We start from the raw sequence: 24,740 nt of genomic DNA, 5'->3' as shown, positions 1-24,740 counted from the left end.
CTTTCATGATGAGCACTAACTGTGTTGAGTCTTTAGTATTGAATGAAGTTATCTGCACCAAAATATTTTTTAGTGGTTTTTTTTAATTCCAAAAGTATATTTAACTTAATTTGACACTTGAGGATAACTTGTGGTTTTTCATATTCTTCATAGTAGTAACCCCTGTCCTCTTCTAGTTTGCTGTTTCTGTCCTGCTAGTGAATGTGATAACCTAATTTGTATTGCTCTGGGTGTGTTATATGTAAGCACCAGTGCAAAAACTTGATGACATGTTTGGTTGCTAAAATACAAATTGTACTTATAACAGTATTCTGGATAACAGAGTTACAGACAGATGAGCATTTGCCATTTCTAGAGGAAAAAAAATAGCCTATTTGGGCCAGCCTCACAAATCCTACTCATAAAGTAATGGTAAGCATCACATTGTTTGAAAGAATAACCATGCTTATGATGATTTAATAGATAGTATTTTAGTTATTTCCCAAAACAGATTCAAGAAAGGTATCAAAAACACTTGAAAATAAAAGCTTTTTCTGTATGAAATCTAAATCTGAAATCTTTAAAGTTGATTTTTTTAATGCCACAAATAAATCCTTCAGGATTATAAACAAGTTGTAATTTCTCCATAGTAAAAATTGCCCTTAATCTTAGCTGGTGAGAGTAGTCTGACCTTTCATTTGCCTTATATACCATGGAATAGTTTATAGTTTTTAAGTGTTGTCCACATCTGTGATCTTAGGCCATTCATATACCTTTCCTAATAGCTATTCTATTTCAGCTTTCTCGTTGACTTCTATCTCATCTTTTTCTTCGTACTTTTGTGTAAGTTGTTTTAATTGCTTTGGAACAATGTGTTACTATCAAAACTCTAAGAAACCATTAAAATGACTTACTTCCTTTACAGATGTGGAACCTGAAGCCCAAATTTCCTCTAAGACCCTAATCAGTGTTCTCATATGTTTGTAGACTGTGTTTTCATAAAGTAAGACATTTTGAGGAAATTGCAACGGAGCAGAGAAAGGTTAATTATTAATACAATTGTCACTGGATACCATTAATTACACAGCTTGATAGGAAAACTAATGAATATAGAATATGTAGCTAATCTATAACTTTTTAAAAATTCCTGGAAAATGTGTAAATGAAACTATGTTGTTGGTTATTAGTTATCTTAAAAATAGATCCATTTTCTCTGATTTTCTCTTACATAGGCTAACTGTAGTTATGCAACTATTCTTAATGAGAATTTAATATTATGAGCTATTAACATCTCTAAAGAGTTGTTTTTGAGTGAAGGTGCTGTTTATTAGCATCATTGGAAAAGTTTTGCAGCCAAATAAGTTCTTGGGATTTTACCTGTAGCTGCAAGAGTTTGCATGAATAGTACTGCTTAAATAAGTCCACCTATGTATAAACAAAGTGTTAAGGTAAAGTAAGGGATAAAAAGAGGAAAACTTCTCCAGCTTTTGGTGTATTTGAATGAATGTACTCTTTTGCACTGTTTCAAAATATATTTAAAATACAAATAAATATCTAAAAATAAGATTGTGTAATTTGTGTTTTGATTATTTGGCTATTGCTTATAACAATTTGCCAGTCTAATGATAAGTCTTCTGATAACAGAAACCAGCATTTCTGGAAGCAATCTTCTGTTTGTTGAAATTTTTTTTTTTACATATTTGTGTTAGAGCCTTACAGAAAGCATACAATTAGGGAATTGTATTATCAAAAAAGTTATTTTTTCCGCTAAGAAAGAACTCTGGTCAGTTTAGTTTTCAGAATAATAGATGTTGTAATATGGCAAATTCATAGATTGCCTTGTTGAGTTTTGTTGTTGTTTACAGAAACCCAGAACCAGTAGCACCCTGACTCTTAGGCAGTTTTCTGTTCATTAGTTTCTTTCATATGTCATTTTAGTATTTATTTTTTAATGCATATTCACTGACAGTTAAATTGAAAGTAGATTGTAGACTTTCAAAGGAATTGTCAAGAAAGCAAGTGTAATAAAAGGTTATATTTTAATGAAGTGATACTGTCATAATTTTTGTGAGGTTTTAGTATTTGAATAGGTTTTTTTTTGCATAGTATAATGTTGATTTTGTTTTTCCAAGGGGATTCCAGCAATGTATGAAAGATAATTTAAAATTCATAATACTCATATATAAACTGTTTAAATCTATAGAATATTTTTGGAATAAGATTAAAAACATGATAGAGTGGATACAGAATAAAGACTTAATAACTTTCTTACATCTGAATATAATTTTTTATTTTTAATAGGATACAACATCTATTGAAAAGATGTCAAACTGTTGTGAAGATATGTAAGTATAAAACTGAAGTGTATAGTATTATTTAAAATTGGAAAGAACTGGACATACTTGAGAAATATGTGCATATGGTAGATAGATAATATAATGATGGCTTTTTCTTGGTGCATTGTCTGAGGCCTGTGCTAGGCAAGCTACCCCAGTCTTACAGTAGGGGTTTTCCAGCCATGGTAGTTTTCACACTAAAATGCTGATCATTCTTGTGCCTTGTCTAACTAAAGTAAGTTAAATTATTTGTCCTGAAAGTACATCAAAAGAGATTTGCTACTGTGTTGTTGACACACATTCTGTTAATCCTGAGATTTTCCTCTGCTTCAAAAGTTGCGCTCGGTTGATTGACGACACAGATACAATATCTGCTATCCAGAGTTAAAACTCAGCTGCATGCCATAATGAAAGAAAAGCTGTATTTATGATGCTGGGACACAATTCATCAGAGTCCAGTAATGGATCCCCAGCCAATCTGTATTGTTTTAGCTGACTGAAGTGCACCATGGGAGTGCTGTCTTTCACTAATAATGCTGTCTTCTGTAGATCGAGGCCCCGAAAGCCATGGCAGCAGACCTTCTCAGAAGTTTTTGGCACTCGTTGGAAGATCCTGTGGTTCATTCCTTTCAGGCAGAGGCAACCACTGCGAGTTCCCTACCACTTTGCCAATCATGTCTAAACAGATGGATGGTGGGCACAGATGGGTCCTCCATGCTGGCAATGCGTTACAGGTTTTATGATAATAGAACTATGACAGTCTTCAAGTCAATTAAAATCCACCCACCAGTCTTAGGCATCATAATGTGCCCCAGGCTTTATTTTAATAGTGATCTTGATCCTGTTGTGGGACTAATACAAGATCTATATTTAAGTTTTAAAGCATGTTTACTTTCAAATTAGCTTTCCACAGGGATTTCTTGAAATGCTTTTGTTATTAAACTCAAAAGGCAGTGATTAGGATGAAATAATTGTACATAATTTATTTTAGTACTGACAGTGTTACAGATTCTAATTTATGGTAAATTTCAGATGTTTATTTAAAATTTTCACTTTTAAACAGTAACCAAATCTAAATTTAATTATTCAGGTTTTACAAAAGTTGATACACCTTCTTATAGTATAGGTAAATTTTCTTTTTCAAATCCAATTTAAAATAACCTTTCCTTTTAAATGTGCTGCAACGTTTTTAAAAATGCAGCAGCATAGGAGTGAACAACAGCAACACAAAACGGGCATTGGTTTCTTAGGAGTGGCTTGCTTACGTTTTCTTCTTTTTTCTTCACCAAAACCAACATGAAAGTACCACTGAAGTAAAACACCAACTACCTACCTTACTATAAAGGAAATGTTAAAATTTTTTTCACAATAATTTTTTCAATTTTCACTATTACTGTTGTAATTATTGATTGTGATTAAAATATTTGCTCCCAGGAGAACTCCTGACCAGTGGGCATGTATTCCTATTTTATCCTAAGATTTTAATGAGCAAAAAGGGGAGAGAATTTGCAATAACTTCACAATTACCTTTTCTAGTGCAGTTATATTAGAATGCATATGTTTTTAAAATGCTAGTATAACTAGATAGTATATAATGTACAGTATAAAGAGGAATATTGTGCTTTTGAAAAGAGTATACTTTTTACTTTTATTTATGTACTAGTAGATGTAAAATTTCACATTGAAGGTTTATATATATTGGCCAACTCATATAGAAATTTTATTTATAGGAAGCTACTACTAAAAAAAGTCACTAACTTTGTGTACCTATAATCCCTAAATTAAAATTAAATTTTAATTGGCTGGCTGTAATTTGCATTGAGAGACCTTTTACTAGTAGCTAGTGTTAGGAAGTGAACCTAAAATAAGAAAATATAATGATCTGTGTTTATCATTAGCCTTGTACAAATGTAAATTACTAATAGTGATGTTCTTTTGCAAGGCATAGAACATTTGTATGAAAAGACATTTAGTATGCTTTGAAAAAAACTCAGCTTTTAGTTTTTTTCCATTAGAATACTGCAAAACCCATATATCTTTTTAAAAAATTTATGTACTCACAGTCTTTCCCTTGAAGAGAAGATTGAAAAAGTCTACTGTTCATAAACCATGCTAACATTTTCCTTTTAGCTAGTTTTGAAAGTAAGGAACAATACCTGGGAAATAATTAAACAGAAGGTTACCATTGTCAGCCAGTTGGCTATACTGTGGTTAGTTCTTTCAGAAATTGTAAATATCTTGTAGCATATTCTGAAATAATAGAGTAAGTTCTTCTCAGAGATGTTAATATCATGTTTTTCATGTTCTAATTAGAATACTTTATTACTTACAAACTCAGAAATACGAACAGAAATACAGCAGACGAACATATTTATTGGTACTGAAAAGAGACGTAGTAAATTAAATAGAAGAAATATATTTATAAAGCTTAGTGAAACACAAAATTAGAATGTTCATGTCAGGCACAAGGGTTTGGATTTTGTGCAAGCTAATTTGGCCACATTTGGCCTGGTGACAGAACTGTTCATAAGGAAGTAATATATAGATAAGGTAGGTAGATATCAGTTGAATGCCTTATATTGTATACATTCCTTTCAAATAAAGACCTTGAGAAAACAGCAGAGCCAAGTGAAGATCACCTAAAGAACTTTGTGGCTAATTTATACTTCATGTAGTAGCAGTGGGTACTGGGCAGGGTCTCTTTCCCACTCTGATGATTTGTGCTCTTATTTTTCCTAGATTTACCTCATCTAGGGCATATTCTTTTCCCTCTTCCTCTTTACCTTTCCTGGTCCTGATCCCTCTGTACTCAGTTCCCCTAAATTATTGGACTACAAACTAATATACTAGAAAAGCATACACTTATTTTATTTGAATGCAGAAATGCTATCTATCAGTATATATACATAAGAATGTATATTACAGTATATCTATATATACTTAACACTGTAACTTTCAGTATTCCCCAGTTAGCGTACCTAACTCTCCTGTGGGTTTTGTTAATTCTTATTAGACTACTAGAGAAAAACCAACTGGCAGTTTGCTAAGCATATCTACTGGTGTTGTTTCTGCGCCCTCTTTTGGCTAATTGATGTAATTATACTGGCTCTAAAGATTTACTGCCCCATAAGTAAATAGTATAGCCACATTCTGAACATATCAAAAGTACAAACTTAGGAGGAGTGTATGTACAAAAATGTAAAATTTTATGAAAATGAACATGTTTTTATGATGTTATTTCTAGTTCATAAGAATGTGATGACTGCTTTGCTTCATTTATGTACGTTCCCATTATATTCTTGCTGTCAATCAATCACAAATTTATATCAGATTAGGATAAACTAAGCCATTTTATGTATTTTATTTTAAACCTTATTTTGGCAGAGTAATTCCTTAGAATTGGAAAAGCTGTTACTTTGAAATTACCAATTTATTACAAAACATAGAAATGTATTGTAGCTACAAAGACAACCAAGCATTTTCTGTGTTTTAATGAATATCTAAAAAACTACATTTAGTTTATTTTACTCAGTTTTGAAATGATTTTTTTACTGGCTCTATTGCCTTAAAATAACTAAGAGATTAATGATTCTTTGTATAATTTTCCTTTTCTTTGTTCTTTTTTTTACATTTCGCAGAGTTATATCTATAGTTTTAGTAACAATTTCTTATGTATTCTGGATAACTGAAAACAACTAAAGGTGTTGGGCATTAGAAAATAATTGTGAGCAGTAAGATTACTGATGTAATATGTATGTTGGACTGAAGTATTTCTTTATAAACATTCTATTTGATTTTAAGCAAAATGTATGTTAAAGCATGTTTTTACATCAGTAAAGTCATTTGTCGACCTTCTGGAAATGAAAGGTTTTTACCTAGATACTGTAAGTTACACCTCCTTAACAATCATATTTGTCATTGTTGTTTTCTGCAAACAAAAATGTTTATGGGCTTCATGTAGGCTTAAGATTGTAGGCAAAAATGGACTGAGTTCAGGACCCTTCAAGCAGTAGGCATTCAGTTACAGAGCAGTTGGTACTTTGTAACCCAGACTTACAGTTTAAAAATATCAAGTTAGCTGATGTTTCATTATAATAAAAATACTATTTTGCTTAAGAGTTGTATTACAAATATTTGTGCTTAACATTAGAAATAGCTGTTTTAAATTGTAGTTAACATATTAACTTTTTCAGAAAAAAAGCATGGTTTATTTTTAATAATGAAATAGAGAACATAATACGTAATGTTCAGTATAACAGCTGAGTTAAAACATCTGCCAGGATTAACATCAGTGCGTTTTTGCCAATGCATAGAGGCATTTTTCTCTAAGTATGATGGCTAATGATAACTATTCTTTGTTACACATTCAAGTCACTCCCATACAAGTAACTAGTGGGTGATATGTTTCACTCCAAAGGGTGTATTAATTCTGAATGCTAATCATGAAGACTTAAGTTAGGACAACACTTCAAACCAGGAAGTGTGAACTGATTTAGATTATAGCTACACAATTTTCTGTGTGTTAGATCATGGGGTAGTTTGAGTGTTTTCACATGTATTGCTATAAAATCACAATGTACCAAGCTCTGGTTTAATATGCCATTAATACTAATTAATAGAGCTGCTAGTCTCTCTCTGGACTTTTCTCTAGTCTCTGCTTCTCTTGCGCTTCCTGTATCAATAGATTACTTAGCTCAAGTTTACCAAGTTTAATAACCTATAGTTACTTTATTGAATAAGTTTCTGACATGACCTCTAATATACATAGATATATCTAGAATTTATTTGATAAAATTCACACATACAAACATTGAGTAGTTTGCTAATAGATACAAATATTAGATTTTCACACAACTCTACTACTGCTTTAAAAATATAAGTATTGGTAAGTGTAGCAAATAAGCCATGTACATTTAATGTGTTCTACTTGCTAGTATTAACTGTATGATTAATGAATGTGTTATTTAATGCCCAAGTTTGTTAACTTTTATTCTAGAAATCATCCTCTGAATTTATTATAAATCACAGATTTCATTGTGCTCTATATTTAGTCATTCTCAGTTGAATTCTAGAATATTCCACAGTACAGTATAAGAAAGTATTAGAACCAACTTGCTTGAACTATTTTGAACCAGTGTTGTAATTCTATATGTTAATCAGTATTTAGCATTTCTGCTCCTTTTGAGATGATGATGGTTTAACTTCAGGAAAGTGACTTTTCTGACTTCTTTTATTATCATTGTGCAATTTTTAGCAACAAAACTCACTATATCTTTGTCAGTTCTTCAGATGTTACAATACTGCCTGCTAATTTGAAACAGAAATAACAATGGTATTTTAAAAAGTCATTGATATTACTGATACTTTCCATTATCATTATATTTTTTACTATTATTATGTTCTTTTTGCCTTGTCCACCCTAGAGAATAGGTACAAATGAGTAGTGAGTATCCACAAACTTACTAAGATGGAGAGAAGGCTAGATGGTGCATGAATAATCAGCATCTCAGCAACAGAGTTGACTGGAGCCAGTTTCTGACATCAGAGAATCTCTTTGCTGTAATCATTTTAGCCTTATCTCTTATTTATACCATTTTTATGGGAAGAGTTGTTAGTGCATATAAGCATTTAGTTTGAATTATTTAACTTAAAGAATTTATATTGCGGTTTCTCTTCAGTTGGTCAGATGCCTTTTATAAATATTTTAGTTTTAAATATAATTGTGTAGAGTATGATCATGTGAAGTGTTAAAAATAATGTGGAAAACTCAGCTATTTAATGCAGAGGAGAAATGAATAGGTTGACCAAAGTTTGAAAAAACTGGCACCTTTTCTGGAAATCTCTTATTGCAAAGAAAAGATACTGAGTGTATAGAAAATTTTGTCACCAGAGGAAAAATAAACAATATATAAGGGTGGCTTTCACTTTAACATTTGGGATATTTTGGAGTTCTTGATACCTCGAAGGTCTCCATTTCTATTGGTATTTTGAATATCTGTAACATGTAATGTCGTTCTTATAACAGTTCAACACTGATTTTTTTGGTATCGATAGCTTTATATATAAACAAAGATGCGGACAAAATAGCTTAACAGAAGTTGTGGGCTTTTTTGTGGCTTTGCCTGCCTGTTTGACCAAATACAGGGTTTAATTGTTTGCAGGCTGTTAACTAAAGGGAAAGCTTACCTGCGTATTGCAAGCTATATATTCTTGCCAGTATACATTGGATGATATTTTAACCTACTGGTGCCTGAAGTTCGTGTTTTATAACCTCAACAACTATAAAACATCCTGGTGCTATTCACTTTAGCATTGAGTGACATTTTTAATTCCTGTACCAAAGAGTTAATTTTCTTTTTGGTTGACTGAGTTTTCTTCTCACATCGTTGTGTATTTATAAAGTAGAATTTAATGTTACTAAGAACAGTTTGATTAACAGATCTTATTTTTTGCATGCTGCTCTGGCAATTTAATGGATTTTAAATGTTTCTCATTTGGATTTTTTTTTAGGTAGGCATGTATGGATTTTAATTTTGTATTTTAATATAGCTTGGCTACTTTAAAAGGTAGTTTGATAGGCTGAAATTACAAAAGATAATTGAAGCACTTTTCACAAGTTGTTTTATTTCTGCAACAATGAATAAAAAGGTAAGAACTCTAATTTATATAAATGAACTATATAGCTTATTGGGCACTTTAGTGAATACTGAAACAAAATACTAAGATGAAGAGTTAAGGTTCGTTCTCATTACAAATCGAGTTCAGCGTGTGTGTGTGTGTGTGTGTGTGTGTGTGTGTGTGTGTAATCTTTAGTGGCTTTAAAGAATAATATTGCCATTTGTCTACTTTGCAAATAAAGATAACAGAACACCTTTAAAATATATGTATGTGTACATATGTGTGTGTAGATATATAGAGAGAGAGATACGGAGAGACAGACAGACAGAGAGAGAGACAGAGAGAGAGATGCTTTCCCAAGAGGAAATGCATATGTACCTTGATTTAAGCAAAACTGATAACAGAAAATTGAACTTAATGAAAGAAAAAAGTCTGGATATGGTTACTCACTTTACATAGAGTAAGATTTTTAAAACTAATTTTGCTTAGTAGTTAATTTTACAAAAATGAAGAGAAACACCCTTTAAGTGTACTCGTAATTTAAAACACCTTTGAAATGTAATTGTCCAAATGTAATGCTGCTATGTATATTATTTGGGTTCCAGATTTTTCCCTTTAAAATTCTCAAAACACTCAGTGTCCTTACAACTGCAGCTAAAATGGTTAATCATTCTGGCAAGAAGGTGACAGTGTGTATATTGGAAAGGCAGACATTCACATTTGAAAATATTTTGCATTATTGTTAGCTAAAATCAACCTCTCCTTGAATGTAGATACAATATATGGTTTTGCAGTCAATTCTGAATGGAAAAAAAGAATCAAGTCTGAAATTTATGTGAAATGTGGCTTCAGATCATTTGAACGATATGTAGAAATCTAGATGAACATATCATTAGAGGTGAAAGCAAAATTTGAAAGCCTAATGAGATGAAGCAACATTATCTCTCTCTAATCTGCCAACAATATTCCCTAGATTGTGTTGCCACTGTATTGATTCTGAGTAATTTGGCTTGTTTATGCGTGATTTAAATGCATGTGGCTGAATGCAGTAATTTTTCAAGTTATTGAGTAGTAGAGAATTCACCACTATTCACTGTCTCCCAGAGATGAACATATAAAAGAAAAAAAATTCTACTTCATATATGTAAGAATAAAGCAACTAAATGATACAAAAGTAAAAACTTCCACCAGAATCAGAGATATTCCGACAAGTGAATTGTGAGTCTAACACGGGAGGACAAAGCTAGGCTCTTGCAAGGACAGAGCACACGTGGATCATGCTGTATGAGCTCACTTTGTGTCCCTGGAATTAGTGTTTTTTTGTGTGTGATCTAACTGGCAAGTTTAATGAATAGCCAAAATCTATGTTATTCTTGAGGCTCCTAAAATTATGTGTGAACCCCAAGTTCTGTCTAGTATTATATCCCTAAAATGCTTTTAATAGTGGTATGTTACAAGTGGCATAAGAAGATCCTGTTTTTAAATTTGTCAGGCATTTTATTATTCAGTACATAATATGTATAGATCTGAGTGCTGTTTTCCTTGCATTGTCTATTATTTTTACCTTGTCTTTCCCCTAAGAGAATTTGAAGAAAATCTTCACCAATATTTCTAGTGTTGATGGTAATTAGGAAAATAGTAGTTGAGAGATGTAAGAATAGTTTGAGAAGAGTGAGTAAAATGGGTGAAATGACAAGTGGGAACCATGTAGCTGAGATGTATTTGTTTAGATGAAAAGTCTACACTGGTTCTTAATGTGAAAATCAAACCATGTATCTACCTTAAGAACAATGTTGTTGTTTTTAATTTATTGTAGCGATTTAGTTTTTTTCACGTAATATTTCTATTTTCTTTGCAGATTGTTTTTAATTTAAATTGTGGAATTTTTACTTCTCAAAATGTATTAAGTACTGTATTTTTTGAAATCTTATTTTTAAATAAATATTTTTTAAAAACGTAGGACTGTTTTTATCCTCTTACCTTTCTTACTTAGGAAAATTAACCCAAATTCTAGATTTCAGCACTACCAATGTAATAGGTCACTTTTAAAAATTTTATACAATGTGGATAATTATTCATGATTACTAGCCTTAGGATATTGTTCTGCCATAATCACAAAATTCATTAAGTATTCAAAAAGAACTAGGTGTACATACTAGGGCTGAAATTGACAAACGCAGTATTTCTAGTTAGGCATGTTTATCTTAGAGATGACGCAGATGGCTGGATTCAGTCACCCAATTTATTTAACATTTATTGTGGCAGACACTATTTTATAGCAGTATTTTTTCTTGAGGGGAATAATTTACTTACAGTAAAATGCAGAAACTTTAAGTTTACACCTAGGCACTATTTTAGATCTGGCAATATTGAATTAAAGCCTGTGCTCCTATGAAGTTGGCCAAAAAAAATCATCAGCTCTGAAAAGACAAATCAATCAGCAGGTCTTAAAGACAGTGAGTTAGTAGAAACTGCCCTGAGATTGAAAGACAGAGGTTTAACTTTATTTTTTAAATTCTTTTAAAAATTTTATTACCAGAAAAGTAATTTTGAAAAATATTCTAGATTAGTGATAAATTATTTGATAGATTTGCAAATAAAACTATAAATTTTGCTTTATTGGTAAGTCAAAGCAGGTTTGTCCGAAAGTTTGCCTTCTGATAAACTTTTAAGGATTATAAATCTTTAATCTTGTTTATTTTGCAATTTCCTTTGTTTTGATTCTAAGTAGCATTTATAATAATATTTTCTTAGTGATGATAAGTTACAACAGTTCTCAAACTTTTTGGTCTCAGGACTCCTTTACATTTATAAAAATTACTGCAGGCCCCAAAGAATTTTTGCTTATGTAAGTTATGTTTATCAGTATTTATTGTAATAGAAAATAAAACCGATTAGGATCTAGGAGAATTTGAAACAAAATGGGAAAAAATTTAAATAGTTGCTAATTCATTTAAACATAAACTCATTACATGTTAACATAAATAACATTTTTGTTTAGAGACCCATGATTTTATGTTTCTGCAAAGCTCTCATGTCTGCCTTCATAGAAGAAAGTTGGATCTCATACTGCTTCGCATTAGACCAATTGAATTGTTATTTTGTTAGAAGTATCTGGAGAAGTCTGATCTTGTGCAGATAATGTAGTTGGAAAAAGGAGGAGTATTCTGATCTTTTCAGGTAACTGGATATTTTCCTCTGGTACTACACTAAAACTCAAGTGATGGTTTCTTAAAGTTTAGTTAGTTCCAATGTGGAGTCAGAAACAATACCAAGGAACTTTTCGTGTTCTTAAAATCCACTGGTCTCTTTTTCACTTTGGAAAGTTCTTTTAGCCATACAAAATTAAGTTCATTAATATTACCACTGGTCTTGTCAGAAAAGTAAGTATTGCTTTTAGCCATACAAAATAAAATTAAATTCATTAATATTACCACTGATCTTGTCAGAAAAGTAAGTACTGGGAAGCGGTTAAGTTTGTGGTGACAGATTACATTTTTCAGAATTCTAATTTTCATGTGAAAGCTTGAATTTTTTTATTGGCAACCACATACTGTCAGTAGTTGTCCTTGAAGTGACAGGTTACCTTCACTTATTTTTGAGAAAATGCTTGCCAAATACCCAAGTCTGAAAAACTGGTTTGTCAGTCATTCCTTCAAGTATAAAATGGTGTTCCATGAAAGAAAGTGGCTAGTTCAGCTTGCAACTCAAACAGTCACACAAGTGCTTTTCTTTAGTAATAATACAATTAAATTCTGGAATTCACCTGAAGTGCTTTATGTGTACTTCCATTTTGTCAAACAATATTTAAAATGTGCTCAAGAACAAGCTTTAGTAAAATTAATGGTTTTTTGCTGTTTCATCAGTATTAAGTGAAAATGGCTTGTCACCTTTTTTAAGCGATAGTGTGGTTTAATCTAGTTAATTTGGCTTTGTTTGGGGAGGAAACAATTGGGGAAGGTGGAGCAGAGGAACATACATTTGAGACTAGATTCATTGACTCTGATAAGTGAGAAGAAACGTCCACTGCTAAAAATAATTGGAATGTGTATCTGTATATTCCAGCTTTTGAACACTTAAAATATGTATCCTTTACAGATTCACACCTACTTAGCCTTGTTATAAAGAGGCAAAAACTAAAAATACGTGATTGTATTATAAGAGTGCAAAATCATTTGAGAAGTTGCCAGATACTGTAGATGAACAAATGCATACAAATGCTGCTCTAGGCTGACCAATTACCCATATGAGCAGCAATTATATTAGCGTGCAAGAGCAATTGGAAGGAAAATTGGACCCTGTAGACATCCAGCTGAGCAAACAGTACTGAGGAAGGATAGAGGATATGTGTTAGCTTGAAAAAAAAAAATACATCTAAGCTAACTTAAAAAAATATTTGTATCAGTCACAGCACATTCTTTGTATGTCCTCTGGATGACTAGTATTTTCAAATTAGGCCCCTTCTCCAAACAAGAAAGCACCTCTGTTTAAAGATCAAACACAATAAAAATAGCAGTGTGTTTTGCATTTTTTAAGAAAGCCAGACTATTGAGGAAATTAGGAACTTGGAATATACAATTCCAAGCACTCAGATACTACTGTAGACACGTATTTGAGTGTGTCTTTAGTAGTAAGTTTAATTGTAGCATGGTTTGGGTGATATTTATCTTTCTTAGTATTGAAATTTACAACTTTAAAAAATTAGACATGTTCCCTCCTCCCCAAAAGTAGCTACTGGCCATAACTGAATGTTTGAGTACCTAGTACGAGATGGAGATTTTATAGTTCCACATTGAAACTATAGATGCGTAATCCTAGCTGAAGTCAGGACCAACAAGTTAATGAAATTTGTTTTATAACTTGTGTAAGCTTTGTAGCTGTAGAACACATATCCTCATTATGTTAAACAGGTTCATATTTTAATGGTGTCTAGAAGTAACCAGTATGAAGGGTTTTTGGATGGTCTGCACTTGTAACTTGATGTCTGGCTTTTAGCGAGTTTTTCAGTGTTCAAAAGCATTTCAGATATTCTCATCACGGAAAAGTACCCACAATGTGGAAAATACTGATCCAGTCAGTGCACGATACTGTGCTGTGAAGTGCTCTAATTTTTGTCATTGATTTTTCATGTACATTTTTTACGTTTGAAAGTCTCCAATAATTTGGGTAATCGCTGTGGTAGGAACCTTCTAAGAGGGTCTTCAGTGATCCTCACTTTTTGGTATTCAAAGCCCTGTAGAGTCTTCTTTTTCCTCCTCAGAGGTGAACGCTGTTTTAAACATGGTATGTAGCATACTGATAGATGTTTTTATACTTTATGTAAACATGAAAAATTGATCAGTTTTTAAAATTTACATAACCCTTCCACAACAGCCCTGATCTCTTGTCCTTACTTCCCCCCCGCCCCCAGCCCATAGCACTTATCACCGTCTAGAACAAAATGGAAAAAATTGCCGTTACCAAAATCTTCACTCCCACCCTCCTCCCCAAAAGTAGCTACTGGCCATAATTTGGTGTGCATCATTGCACTCCCCTTCCTTCACATTATCATATGTGTTATATATGATATTCCTATCATATAATGATATATGATTATCCCTATTAACATATAATAACTTTTTTTTTGGATACAGGGTCTGCCTCTGTCACCTAGGCTGGAGTGCAGTGGCACAATCTCAGCTCACTGCAGCCTCCACCTCCTGGCTCAAGCCATCCTCCCACACCCAGCTAATTTTTATATTTTTTGTAGAGTCGGGATTTTGCCATGTGGCCCAGGCTGGTCTGCAACTCCTGAGCTCAAGCAGTCTGCCCGCCTTGGCCTCACAAACTGCTTGATGATAGGCATGAGCCACCATGCCCACCCTCTTCTGTACAGTTCATATCAATAAACTATTATTTAACCATTCCTCTGTAGTGGGCATCATGTAGATTTTTTTTTTTTTTTTTTGCTATTAGTAACAGTGCTATGGAGGACAGTCTTGTGCAGAAATATTTGTGCCCATTTGTTAGTATTTCTGTAGGTAAAGTCTAGAAGTGAAATTGACAAGTCAGAGGATGTACTTATTTTTAATTTTGATAGGAAGTACCAAAATGTCTTCCAAAATTCTTTACACACATTCTCACATGAATACTATTAATCTTTAAAATTTGTAGCAAAGTAATAGAGGTGAACGTCTGGTTTTTTTTCTCTTGTGTATTCTTTGTTTATGGTTTTTGACTAGGTTACCTTTGCTTGTCAAATGTTAGTAACTTTTTATTAATATATTTCCTGGGTATTATTTTTTAATCTATTTAATAGGTTTCTAAAATTTAGCCCAGTCACTTGTTTTTCTTTATGGTGATTGTTCCAGTTGCTTTTGCTATATAACAATCCCAAACTTAGTGCCATAAAAAAACCAACCATTTTTTTATGGTCACAGTTTCTGTGGGTCAGGCATTCAGAAAGGGCACAGCAGCTTTTCTGTCTTCCATGGTGTCTGAGGTCTTAGCTGGAGGACCGAAAGATCCTGGAAGATTCTATGGCTGGCAACTGCAATCAACAGAAGCCTCGTTTACTCGCATACCTGATGGTTGATGCTGGCTGTCAGCTGAGAACTCAGCTTGGGTTATCATCCAGAACACCTACATGGACCTCTACATATAACTTTGGGCTTACTTACAGCATGATGGCTGGGTTCTAGAAGACAGTGGCCCAAGACAACCAGAAAGAAACTATGTCACTTTTTGTCACCTAGCTTCAGAAGTCACAAACCTGTAGTCCCAAGCTTATCCAGAGTCAGCGGGAGAGAACATAATTCCATTTCATGGGAAGAGTGTCAGAGTCACACTTCACAGGAAAAGTATATAGGATGGGAGATATTGTTGAGGACATCTTTGGAAATTAAATTTGCCCAATCATCATGTTGTATGGAAGAATTAAACTACCTTGAAATTTAGTACTTTTTATTATGACTTCTGGGTTTTATTACCTTGTTTAGAAAGGTCTTTCCTAAATCAAGATTATGTATTTTCCTTCATTTTTCAAGAAAACTTTGATATTTTTGTTTTTTTAACTATTATGCCCTTGAATCCATTTGAAGTTTATTTTCATAAACCCCAGTGTAGCTTTATTTTTACAAACTTCAATGTTTTGTACATTTTTGGAAACTTGTTTCTGTAATATTGTATAGTGAGAAACTAAATTATTTCAGATGGACAAAATATTAACAACACATAAGATCTGACAGTATAAAACTCCTAAAAGAAAACATAGGGGAAAATCTTCATAACATTGTTGACTTCTTGGAGATAACACCAAAAGCACAAGCAACAAAAGCAAATATAGACAAGTGGGACTGCATCAACTTTAAAAGCTTCTGCATAGCTAAGGAGACTTAATAGAATCAAATGGCAGTCTATCGAATGGGAGAAGGTATTTTCAAACCACATATTTGCTAAGAGGTTAATCAAAATACAAAACGAGCTCCTACAACTTAATAGAAGAAAAAAATCCATATAAAGACTGATTAAATAATGGGCAAAGGACTTTAATAGATATTTCTCCAAAGAAGACACACAAATGACCAACAGGTACGTGAAGGGATGCTCAACATCACTAATAGAGAGATGCAAAATTACAACGAGGTATTATCTCACAACTGTTAGAATGGCCATTTGAAAAAAATAGTGTTGGTGAGGATGTGGGGAAATTGGAACCCTTATGTACTGTTACTAGGGGTGTAAAATGGTGCAGCTGTTTTGAAAAACAGTATGGAAGTTCCTCAGAAGAATTAGAAATGCTATATGATTCAGGATTCCCACTTCTGGATATTAAAAAAAAAAAAAATGAAACCAGGATCTGGAAGAGATATTTGCACTCCCCATTTCATTAATGCAGTATTCATAATAGCCAAGAGATGGAAACAACCTAAATGCCCATTGATGGTTGAATGAATTTAGAAAATTTAGTATATACGTACAATGGAATGTTATTCAGCCATAGAAAAGGAAGGAAATACTGTCAGATGCTGCAGCTTGAACCTTGACAACATTTTGCTAAGTGAAATAAGCCAGCCACAGAAGGACAAATACTGCATGATTTCACCAATATGAAGTATCTAATGTAGTCAAACTTATAGAAACAGTAGAATGGTGGCTGCTGTGGGGAGGGGGAATTGGGGAACTGCTGTTCAAAAGGTATAGAGTTTCTGTCACGCGAGTTTAAAAAGTTCTAGAGCTCTGTTGTATAACATTATGCTTATAGTACTGCACTATACTTAAAATTTAACAGTACCGTACTGTATATTTAAAAATTTACTAAGAGGATTGATCTCATGTGCTTTTTGCCACAATAAAAAGTAATGTGAAGTATGAAAAATAATAACTGGAGAGTTTACTAAATTTGTGTAATTAAAAATACCAAGATTAATTACATGCTAATGTTTTGCTTTTTTCAGTTTTCTCACTTTGTTTTCTAAAAACATGCAATGTTACAGATACATCTAAGTCCTCAACCTGCAGTTTTCCTCCCTAGAGGTAGCCGCCATCCTAAAGTCAGTGTGAATTATTTTCATGAATGTTTTTGTGCTTTTATGATGTATGTAGCATCCATAAATGATACTATTTTCAAATTTTACATTTATGTAAATTTTAATCAGCATCACATTTTTTAAACAAAACATCTTTATTAATGTAGATTTGGGCCATTCATTATAAATCCCACAGAACAATTATTTGAATAAACTGTAGTTTATATATTATTCACTAAGTGGATTATTTCCTTTGTTATTAACTTGTTCAAAGAGAAGTGAAATAGTGGAATGGTAAGGTATGTGCATCTTCAACTGTAAAAGCTTTCCCAAATTGCTCTTTAGTCAAACCAATTTACACTCCAACCAACATATATATTGTTTCATCTTCCCCCACATCCTCACTAACCCTATGTAATGAGTTTTTCCTATTTGTTATTGATACATATTTTTGCTGCTTCCTGCATCATTTGTCAGTCCAATCGATTTGCCAGGAATCTAATGTAATTTTCTGGAAAAAGTCTTTGTAAATATCGAGAGAAAAAGTGAATAAAAACATGACTCTAATAACTCAATAATTCATGAAGGATATATTTTCTTAAGGCAAATCAAGGGATGAGTCAACATCTACGACTATAAATATGAATAAAAAATTATGCTCTTATGAGGTAGCCAGAGATAAACCACATTACTGAATACTTAGAGTTCGACCCCTCTAAAGTTCAGGATCCACTTGATTGTATTTGTTTCTTAATAAAGAGCAGCGATTCCCTTTTTCTAAATATTTCACAGGTAGATAAATTTGTAAAGTCCTTATAAAAATAAGTATTGCCTGTTGAGATCTTATTTTCATATTTTATTTATCTAGCAAATCAAGATTAGCTCAGTAATTTATATATCACATGAGGGTAGATTAACGAGCTTTGGTTGCGTTTATGTAAAAGTGGTTGAATCCAAATCTTTCATGTTACGGTTGTGCTTGTTACTGGGTCTTCATAGAAGTAAAAACCACACTGGGGAAAAATACCACAACAATTTTTTGTTTAGCACATTTTTTCACATCTGATTTGCAGTGTCATTTGTGTCCTTGAAGTATAGCATGCATTTAATTCTTCCAGTGGTTATCTTAAAAATTTCAGGAGGATTTACCTATATATTTCTAATTGTAATATTCATGTAAGAAATGGTACCTCAAATAGGAGGTAACTCCTCCTATTTGACATAAGAATTTATGTTTTTATTTCCTATCATACTTTTAAAAATATAATTTGGAGTTTAATACATTATTTTCTGTCTTCCATTTTTAAAGTTCACTTTATTGAGGGATAGTTTAAACACAACAAAATGTATTCATTTTAAGTACATTTCAGTGAGTTTTTAGAAATATGTATATCCATGTAGCTATCAACATATTCAAAATATGGAATATTCAATCACCCAAAAAGTTTCCTCAGGCCACTTTACTGCTCCCCCTCAACTCCCACCCCTCCAGGAAACGCGGACCTGTTTTCTGTGACTGTAAGTTAGATTTGCCTTTTACAGAATTTCGCATGAATGAAATTCTCCCTTTTTTTTTTTTTTTTTTTTTTTTTTTGAGATGAAGTCTCTCTCTCTGTTTTCCAGGCTGCTGGAATGCAGTGGCATGATCATAACTTCACTGTAACCTCGAACACCTGGGCTCAAGCAGGCCTTCTGCCTCAGCCTCCCGAGTGGCTGGGATTATAAGTGCAATTCACTGTGCCTGGCTTTTGTCCTTTGTTTTTCACTGGCTTTTGCTCAGCATATTTTTGAGATTCATTCATGTTGTGAGTATGTTTCTTTTCGTTTCAGCAATTTAAAAATGTCATCCCATTTTTTCTGACCTATAAATTTTCTACTGACAAATCTGTTTGTCTGATGGGGATTTCCTTATATGTGACTTGATGCTCTTCTCTTGCTGCTTTTAGATTTATTTCCTTTGGCTTTGGCATTTGACAGTTTGACTATATGGTGTGTGCATTGGAAAAGACCTGTTCAGGTTTAATATACTTGGGAATCACTGCACTTTGTCTATCTAGATGCCTGTATCTCTGGCAAGACTTGGGAAGTTTTTAGCTATTATTTCATTAAATAAGTTTTCTGTGCCTTTGGCCATCTCATCTCATGGAACTCCCAAGATGCGAATACTTTGTCACTTTATGAGGTCCCTTGTGTCATTGTAGGCTTTCTTCATTTTTTAAATTTGACTGAATTATTTCAAATGACCTGTCTTCAAGTTGAGAAATTCTTTCTTCTGCTTGATCTAGTCTATTGTTGAAGCTCTCTATTGAATTTTTTTATTTCATTCATTGAATTCTTCAGTTCCGATATTTCTGTTAGGTTCTTTTTATTATTATTATTATACTTTAAGTTCTGGGATGCATGTGTAGAACATGCAGGTTTGTTACATAGATATACACTTGCCATGGTGGTTTGCTGCACCCATCAACCCGTCACCTACATTAGGTATTTCTCCTAATGCTATCCCTCCCCTAGCTCCCCCACCTCCTGACTGGCCCTGGTGTGTGATGTTCCCCTCCGTGTGTCCATATATTTTCATTGTTCAACTCCCACTTATGAGTGAGAACATGTAGTGTTTGGTTTTCTGTTCCTGTGAGCGTTTGCTGAGAATGATGGTTTCCAGCTTCATCCATGTCCCTGCAAAGGACATGAACTCATCCGTTTTAATGGCTGCATAGTATTCCATGATATATATGTGCCACATTTTCTTTATCCAGTCTATCATTGATGCACAACTGGGTTGGTTCATAGTTTTTGCTATTATGAATTGTACTGCAGTAAACATACATGCACATGTGTCTTTATAGTAGAATGATTTATAATCCTTTGGGTATATACCCATTAATGGGATTGCTGGGTTAAATGGTAATTCTGGTTATAGATCCTTGAGGAATTGCCACACTGTCTTGCACAATTGTTGAACTAATTTACACTCCCACCAGCAGTGTAAAAGTGTTCCTGTTTTTCCACATCCTCTCCAGCATCTGTTGTTTCCTGACTTTTTAATGGTTGTCATTCTAACTGGCATGAGATGGTATCTCATTGTTGTTTTGATTTGCATTTCTCTAATGACCAGTGATGATGACCTTTTTTTCATGTGTCTGTTGGCTGCAAAATGTCTTCTTTTGAGAAGTGCCTGTTCATATCCTTTGCACACTTTTTGATGGGGTTGTTTTTTTCTTGTAAGTTGGTTTAAATTCCTTGTACATTGTGGATATTAGCTCTTTGTCAGATGGGTAGATTGCAAAAAATTTCTCCCATTCTGTAGGTTGCCTGTTCACCCTGATGATAGTTTCTTTTGCTGTGCAGAAGTTTTTTAGTTTGATTAGATCCCATTTGTCAATTTTGGCTTTTGTTGCCATTGCTTTTGGTGTTTTAGTCATGAAGTCTTTGTCCATGCCTATGTCCTGAAAGGTATTGCCTCAGTTTTCTTCTAGGGTTTTTATGGTTTTAGGTCTTACAGTAAGTCTTTAATCCATCTTGAGTTAATTTTTTGTATAAGGTGTAAGGAAGGGGTCAGTTTCAGTTTTCTGCATATGGCCATGCAGTTTTCCCAACACCATTTATTAAAAAGGGAATCCTTTCCCCATTGCTTGTTTTTGTCATATTTGTCAAAGAACAGATGGTTGTAGATGTGTGGCGTTGTTTCTGAGGCCTCTGTTCTGTTCCATTGGTCTATATATCTGTTTTCATACCAGTACCATGCTGTTTTGGTTACTGTAGCCTTGTAGTATGGTTTGAAGTCAGGTAGCATAATGCCTCCAGCCTTGTTCTTTTTGCTTCGGATTCTCTTGACTATACCAGCTCTTTTTTTTTGTTCCATGTGAAATTTAAAGTAGTATTTTCTAGTTCTGTGAAGTCAATGGTAACTTGATGGGGATAACCTTGAATCTATGAATTACTTTGGGCAATATGGCCATTTTCACCATATTGATTCTTCCTATCCATCAGCATGGAATGTTTTATCATTTGTTTGTGTCCTCTCTGATTTCCTTGAGCAGTGGTTTATAGTTCTCCTTGAAGAGTTCCTTCACATTCCTTGTAAGTTGTATTCCTAGGTATTTTATTCTCTTTGTAGCAGTTGTGAATGGGAGTTCATGCATGATTTGGTTCTCTGTCTGCTATTGGTGGGTAGGAATACTTGGGACTTTTGCGCATTGATTTTGTATCCTGAGACTTTGCTGAAGTTGCTTATCAGCTTAAGGAGATGTTGGGCTGAGTCAATGGGGTTTTCTAAATATACAGTCATGTCATCTGCAAACAGAGACAATGTGACTTCCTCTCTTCCTATTTGAATACCCTTTATTTCTTTCTCTTGCCTGATTGCCCTGGCTAGAACTTCCAATACTATGTTGAATAGGAGTGGTGAGAAAGGGCATCTTTGTCTTGTGCCAGTTTTCAAAGGGAATGCTTCCAGCTTTTGCCCATTCAGCATGATATTGGCTGTGGTTTTGTCATAAATAGCTCTTACTATTTTGAGATATGTTCCATCAATACCTAGTTTGTTGAGAGTTTTTAGCATGAAGGGGTATTGAAATTTATCTAAGGCCTTTTCTGCATCTATTGAGGTAATCATGTGGTTTCTGTCATTGGTTCTGTTTATATGATGGATTATGTTTATTGATTTGCATATATTGAACCAGCCTTGCATCCCAGGGATGAAGCCCACTTGATTGTGGTGGATAAGCTTTTTGATGTGATGCTGGACGCCCCTCCCCCCACTAAGCTTGAGCATCCCAGGTTGACTTCAGACTGCTGTGCTGGTGGCAAGAATTTCAAGCCAGTGGATCTTAGCTTGCTGGGCTCTGTGGGGGTGTGATTCACTGAGCTATATCACTTGGCACCCTGGCTTCAGCCCCCTTTCCAGGGGAGTGAACAATTCTGTCTTGCTGACATTCCAGGCGCCACTGGGGTATGGGAAAAAAAAAAAACTCCTGCAGCTAGCTCAGTGTCTGCCCAAACAGCCATCCATTTCTGTGCTTGAAACCCAGGGCCCTGGTGATATAGGCACCTGAGGGTATCTCCTGGTCTGCAGGTTGTGAAGACCATGAAAAAAGTGTAATGTCTGGGCTGGATAGCATTGTCCCTCATGGCACAGTCCCTCACAGCTTCCCTTAGCTAAGAGAGGGAGTTCTCCAACCCCTTGTGCTTCCCAAGTGAGGCAATGCCCCACCCTGCTTTGGCTCATCCTCTGTGGGCTGCACCCACTGTCTAACCAGTCCCAATGAGATGAGCCGGGTACCTCAGTTGGAAATGCAGAAATTACCCGCCTTCTGCATTGATCTCACTGGGAGCTGCAGACCAAAGCTGTTCCTATTCGGCCATCTTGCCAGCCCCATAAAGGCACTTCTTACATGGTGGCAGCAAGAGAGAATCAGGTTCTTTTTTTATGTTTATCTCTTCGTTAAATTTCACACTCAGGGATGGGTGAGGTGGCTCACATCTGTAATCCTAGCACTTTGGGAGGCCAAGGCAGGAGGATCGCTTGAGCTCAGGAGTTCGAGACCATCCTGGGTGACATGGTGAAACCCTGTCTCTACAAAAATAACAAAAAAAAATTTAGCTAGGCCTGGGATGTCACATGCTTGTGGTCCCAGCTACTTGGGAGACTGGAGTGGGAGAATCACCTGTGCTGGGAGAGGTTGAGGCTGCAGTGTGAGGCATGATTGTGCCACACTGCACTCCAGCTGGGGTGACAGAGTGAGACCCTGTCTTAAAAATAAATAAATACATTAATTAAATAAATAATAAAAAATATATTTCTCATTCAGATCATGAATTGCTTTTCTATTTTTTGTATTGTGTTCTCTTATATTTCACTGAGCTTTTTAAATATCATTCTGCATTTTTTCCAGGCATTTCATAGATATTTTTTTCTTGTTGGAATCTTTTGATGGAGAATCATTGTGTTCTTTTGGACATGTCACATTTCCTTGCTTTTTCATGTTTCTTGTGTCCTTACATTGATATCTGCACATCTCATGTAATAGTTGCTTTTTCCTTTTTATGGATTGGCTTTCATAGGGAAATACTTTTTCCTATAGATGTATCTATAGTGTTGGTTGGGTAGGGTGATTTGGTTTTGATTCTGAGTGGGCACAGTAGTATAGTCGTCGTATTATTTCTATGGGTGTAATCAGCATCAGTAGTGTCTGTCAGTTCACAGTGGCTTAGGCTATGGTTGTTAGTGAAAGTTGTGGTGAGGCTTTGCTGGAGATGAGGACACCAGGTGAGCTAGTACTCAGTCACCAGTGGTAGAGGCAGTTGGCTAGGTATGTTGGCCCTTGGGTCTTTGGGCAGCATACATGGGCACTGCAGTAGTAGGTCTAGGTGGACTAATCCTTGAGCCTCCAGGCAGCTTGCTCTGGGCTGGTTGTGGAGGCAGTGGGCCAGAGAGGTCGGTGGGCCCTTGGGCCTTTGGTCAGTATGCATGGCTTTGATAATGCCAGTAGTGGTGGTAGGCCAACTCTCAGGCCCCCAAGCAGCATGTGTGGGCACCAGTTGCGGTGGCAGTGAGCTGGGCAGGCAAGTTCTCTGGCCCCTCAGTTGTGTGGAGGGGGAGGGCATGTTGATGGTAGTGGGTAGAGTGGGTTAATTCTCAGGTACCCAGATGATGTGTCTGGGTGTTGGTAGGCTGGGTGGGTCTGTCTTTAGACCCCCAGAAGGTAGGCACAGGTGCTGGTGGTGGTGAGCAGAGCAGGCCTGTTGTCAGGGCTCGTGTTGCTGTGTGTGGCTGCCAGTGGTGGCAGGTAGGGCAGATCAGTTCTCAGGCTCCTGGATGGTGCACTTGGATGGAGGCAGCAGTAGCAGTGGGTGGGACAGACCTTACCTCAGACCCCCGGATGGTATGTGCAGGTACCAGCAGTGAGGGCTGGGGCAGACCTGTCCTCAGGCCTCTGCGTGGCACTGGGGCAAGCTGGTCCCTGGGTCTCCTGAAAGCACATGCAGGTGTGCGGTGACTCTGCTGCTAGGGAAGGGACTGCGTTGTTCTCAGTGGCATTGGCCCAAGGCAGGCCGCTCTCAGATTCTGAGGAGTGTGTGCTTCAGCTCCCTTTGTGCCAGAGCAGCCTCCCTGGTCCACTGCACTGTCCATTCCCTGGGATGTAGGATACTGCTTGGGCTAGAGTGCTGGATACCCAGCCACACTGCTGAGTCCAGCCAGCATTGTTCTGCTGCAGCCCTCTTGGTGGATGTGGTGGAATGGCAGCAGGGCTCCAGGGACGTGGAGATAGAGAGGGTGTTGGGCCCTAGGGAAGAATGT

At 35.1% G+C, this 24,740-nt stretch overlaps 1 protein-coding gene across 29 annotated transcripts in view, besides 1 other annotated feature; it reads left to right on the top strand.

Moving 5' to 3' along the window:
- The window catches only part of ZDHHC21 (zDHHC palmitoyltransferase 21), a 104,636-nt gene that overhangs the window by 71,470 nt on the left and 8,426 nt on the right, over nucleotides 1-24,740 (top strand). For 22 of the 29 annotated variants that reach the window (NR_148714.2, NR_148716.2, NR_148715.2 and 19 more), the window contains 2 exons: nucleotides 2,281-2,324; nucleotides 2,865-10,892. Coding sequence is in view for 17 of the 29 variants with exons in the window: in NM_001354127.2 (NP_001341056.1) it covers nucleotides 2,281-2,324; nucleotides 2,865-2,997 (177 nt within the window). In the remaining 12 variants the exon portion in view is untranslated. Of the gene's footprint in view, nucleotides 1-322; nucleotides 1,544-2,280; nucleotides 2,328-2,864; nucleotides 10,893-11,934; nucleotides 12,114-19,063; nucleotides 19,246-24,740 lie in introns of those variants that run through there. The other 7 variants (XR_007061286.1, XR_007061285.1, XR_007061287.1 and 4 more) reach the window with 4 other exon arrangements.
- Nucleotides 24,131-24,662: an enhancer, noted in NCBI's record as "H3K27ac-H3K4me1 hESC enhancer chr9:14597299-14597830 (GRCh37/hg19 assembly coordinates)". NCBI's record gives its function as "activates a minimal SCP1, AML or CMV promoter by ChIP-STARR-seq in naive H9 embryonic stem cells {active_cell/tissue: H9 hESC(naive)}" and the evidence as "EXISTENCE:reporter gene assay evidence [ECO:0000049][PMID:30033119]".

This window comes from Homo sapiens, chromosome 9, assembly GCF_000001405.40.
Source record: "Homo sapiens chromosome 9, GRCh38.p14 Primary Assembly".
NCBI classification, from domain to species: Eukaryota; Metazoa; Chordata; class Mammalia; order Primates; family Hominidae; genus Homo; species Homo sapiens.
This window is presented reverse-complemented; position numbering and strand designations above follow the sequence as displayed.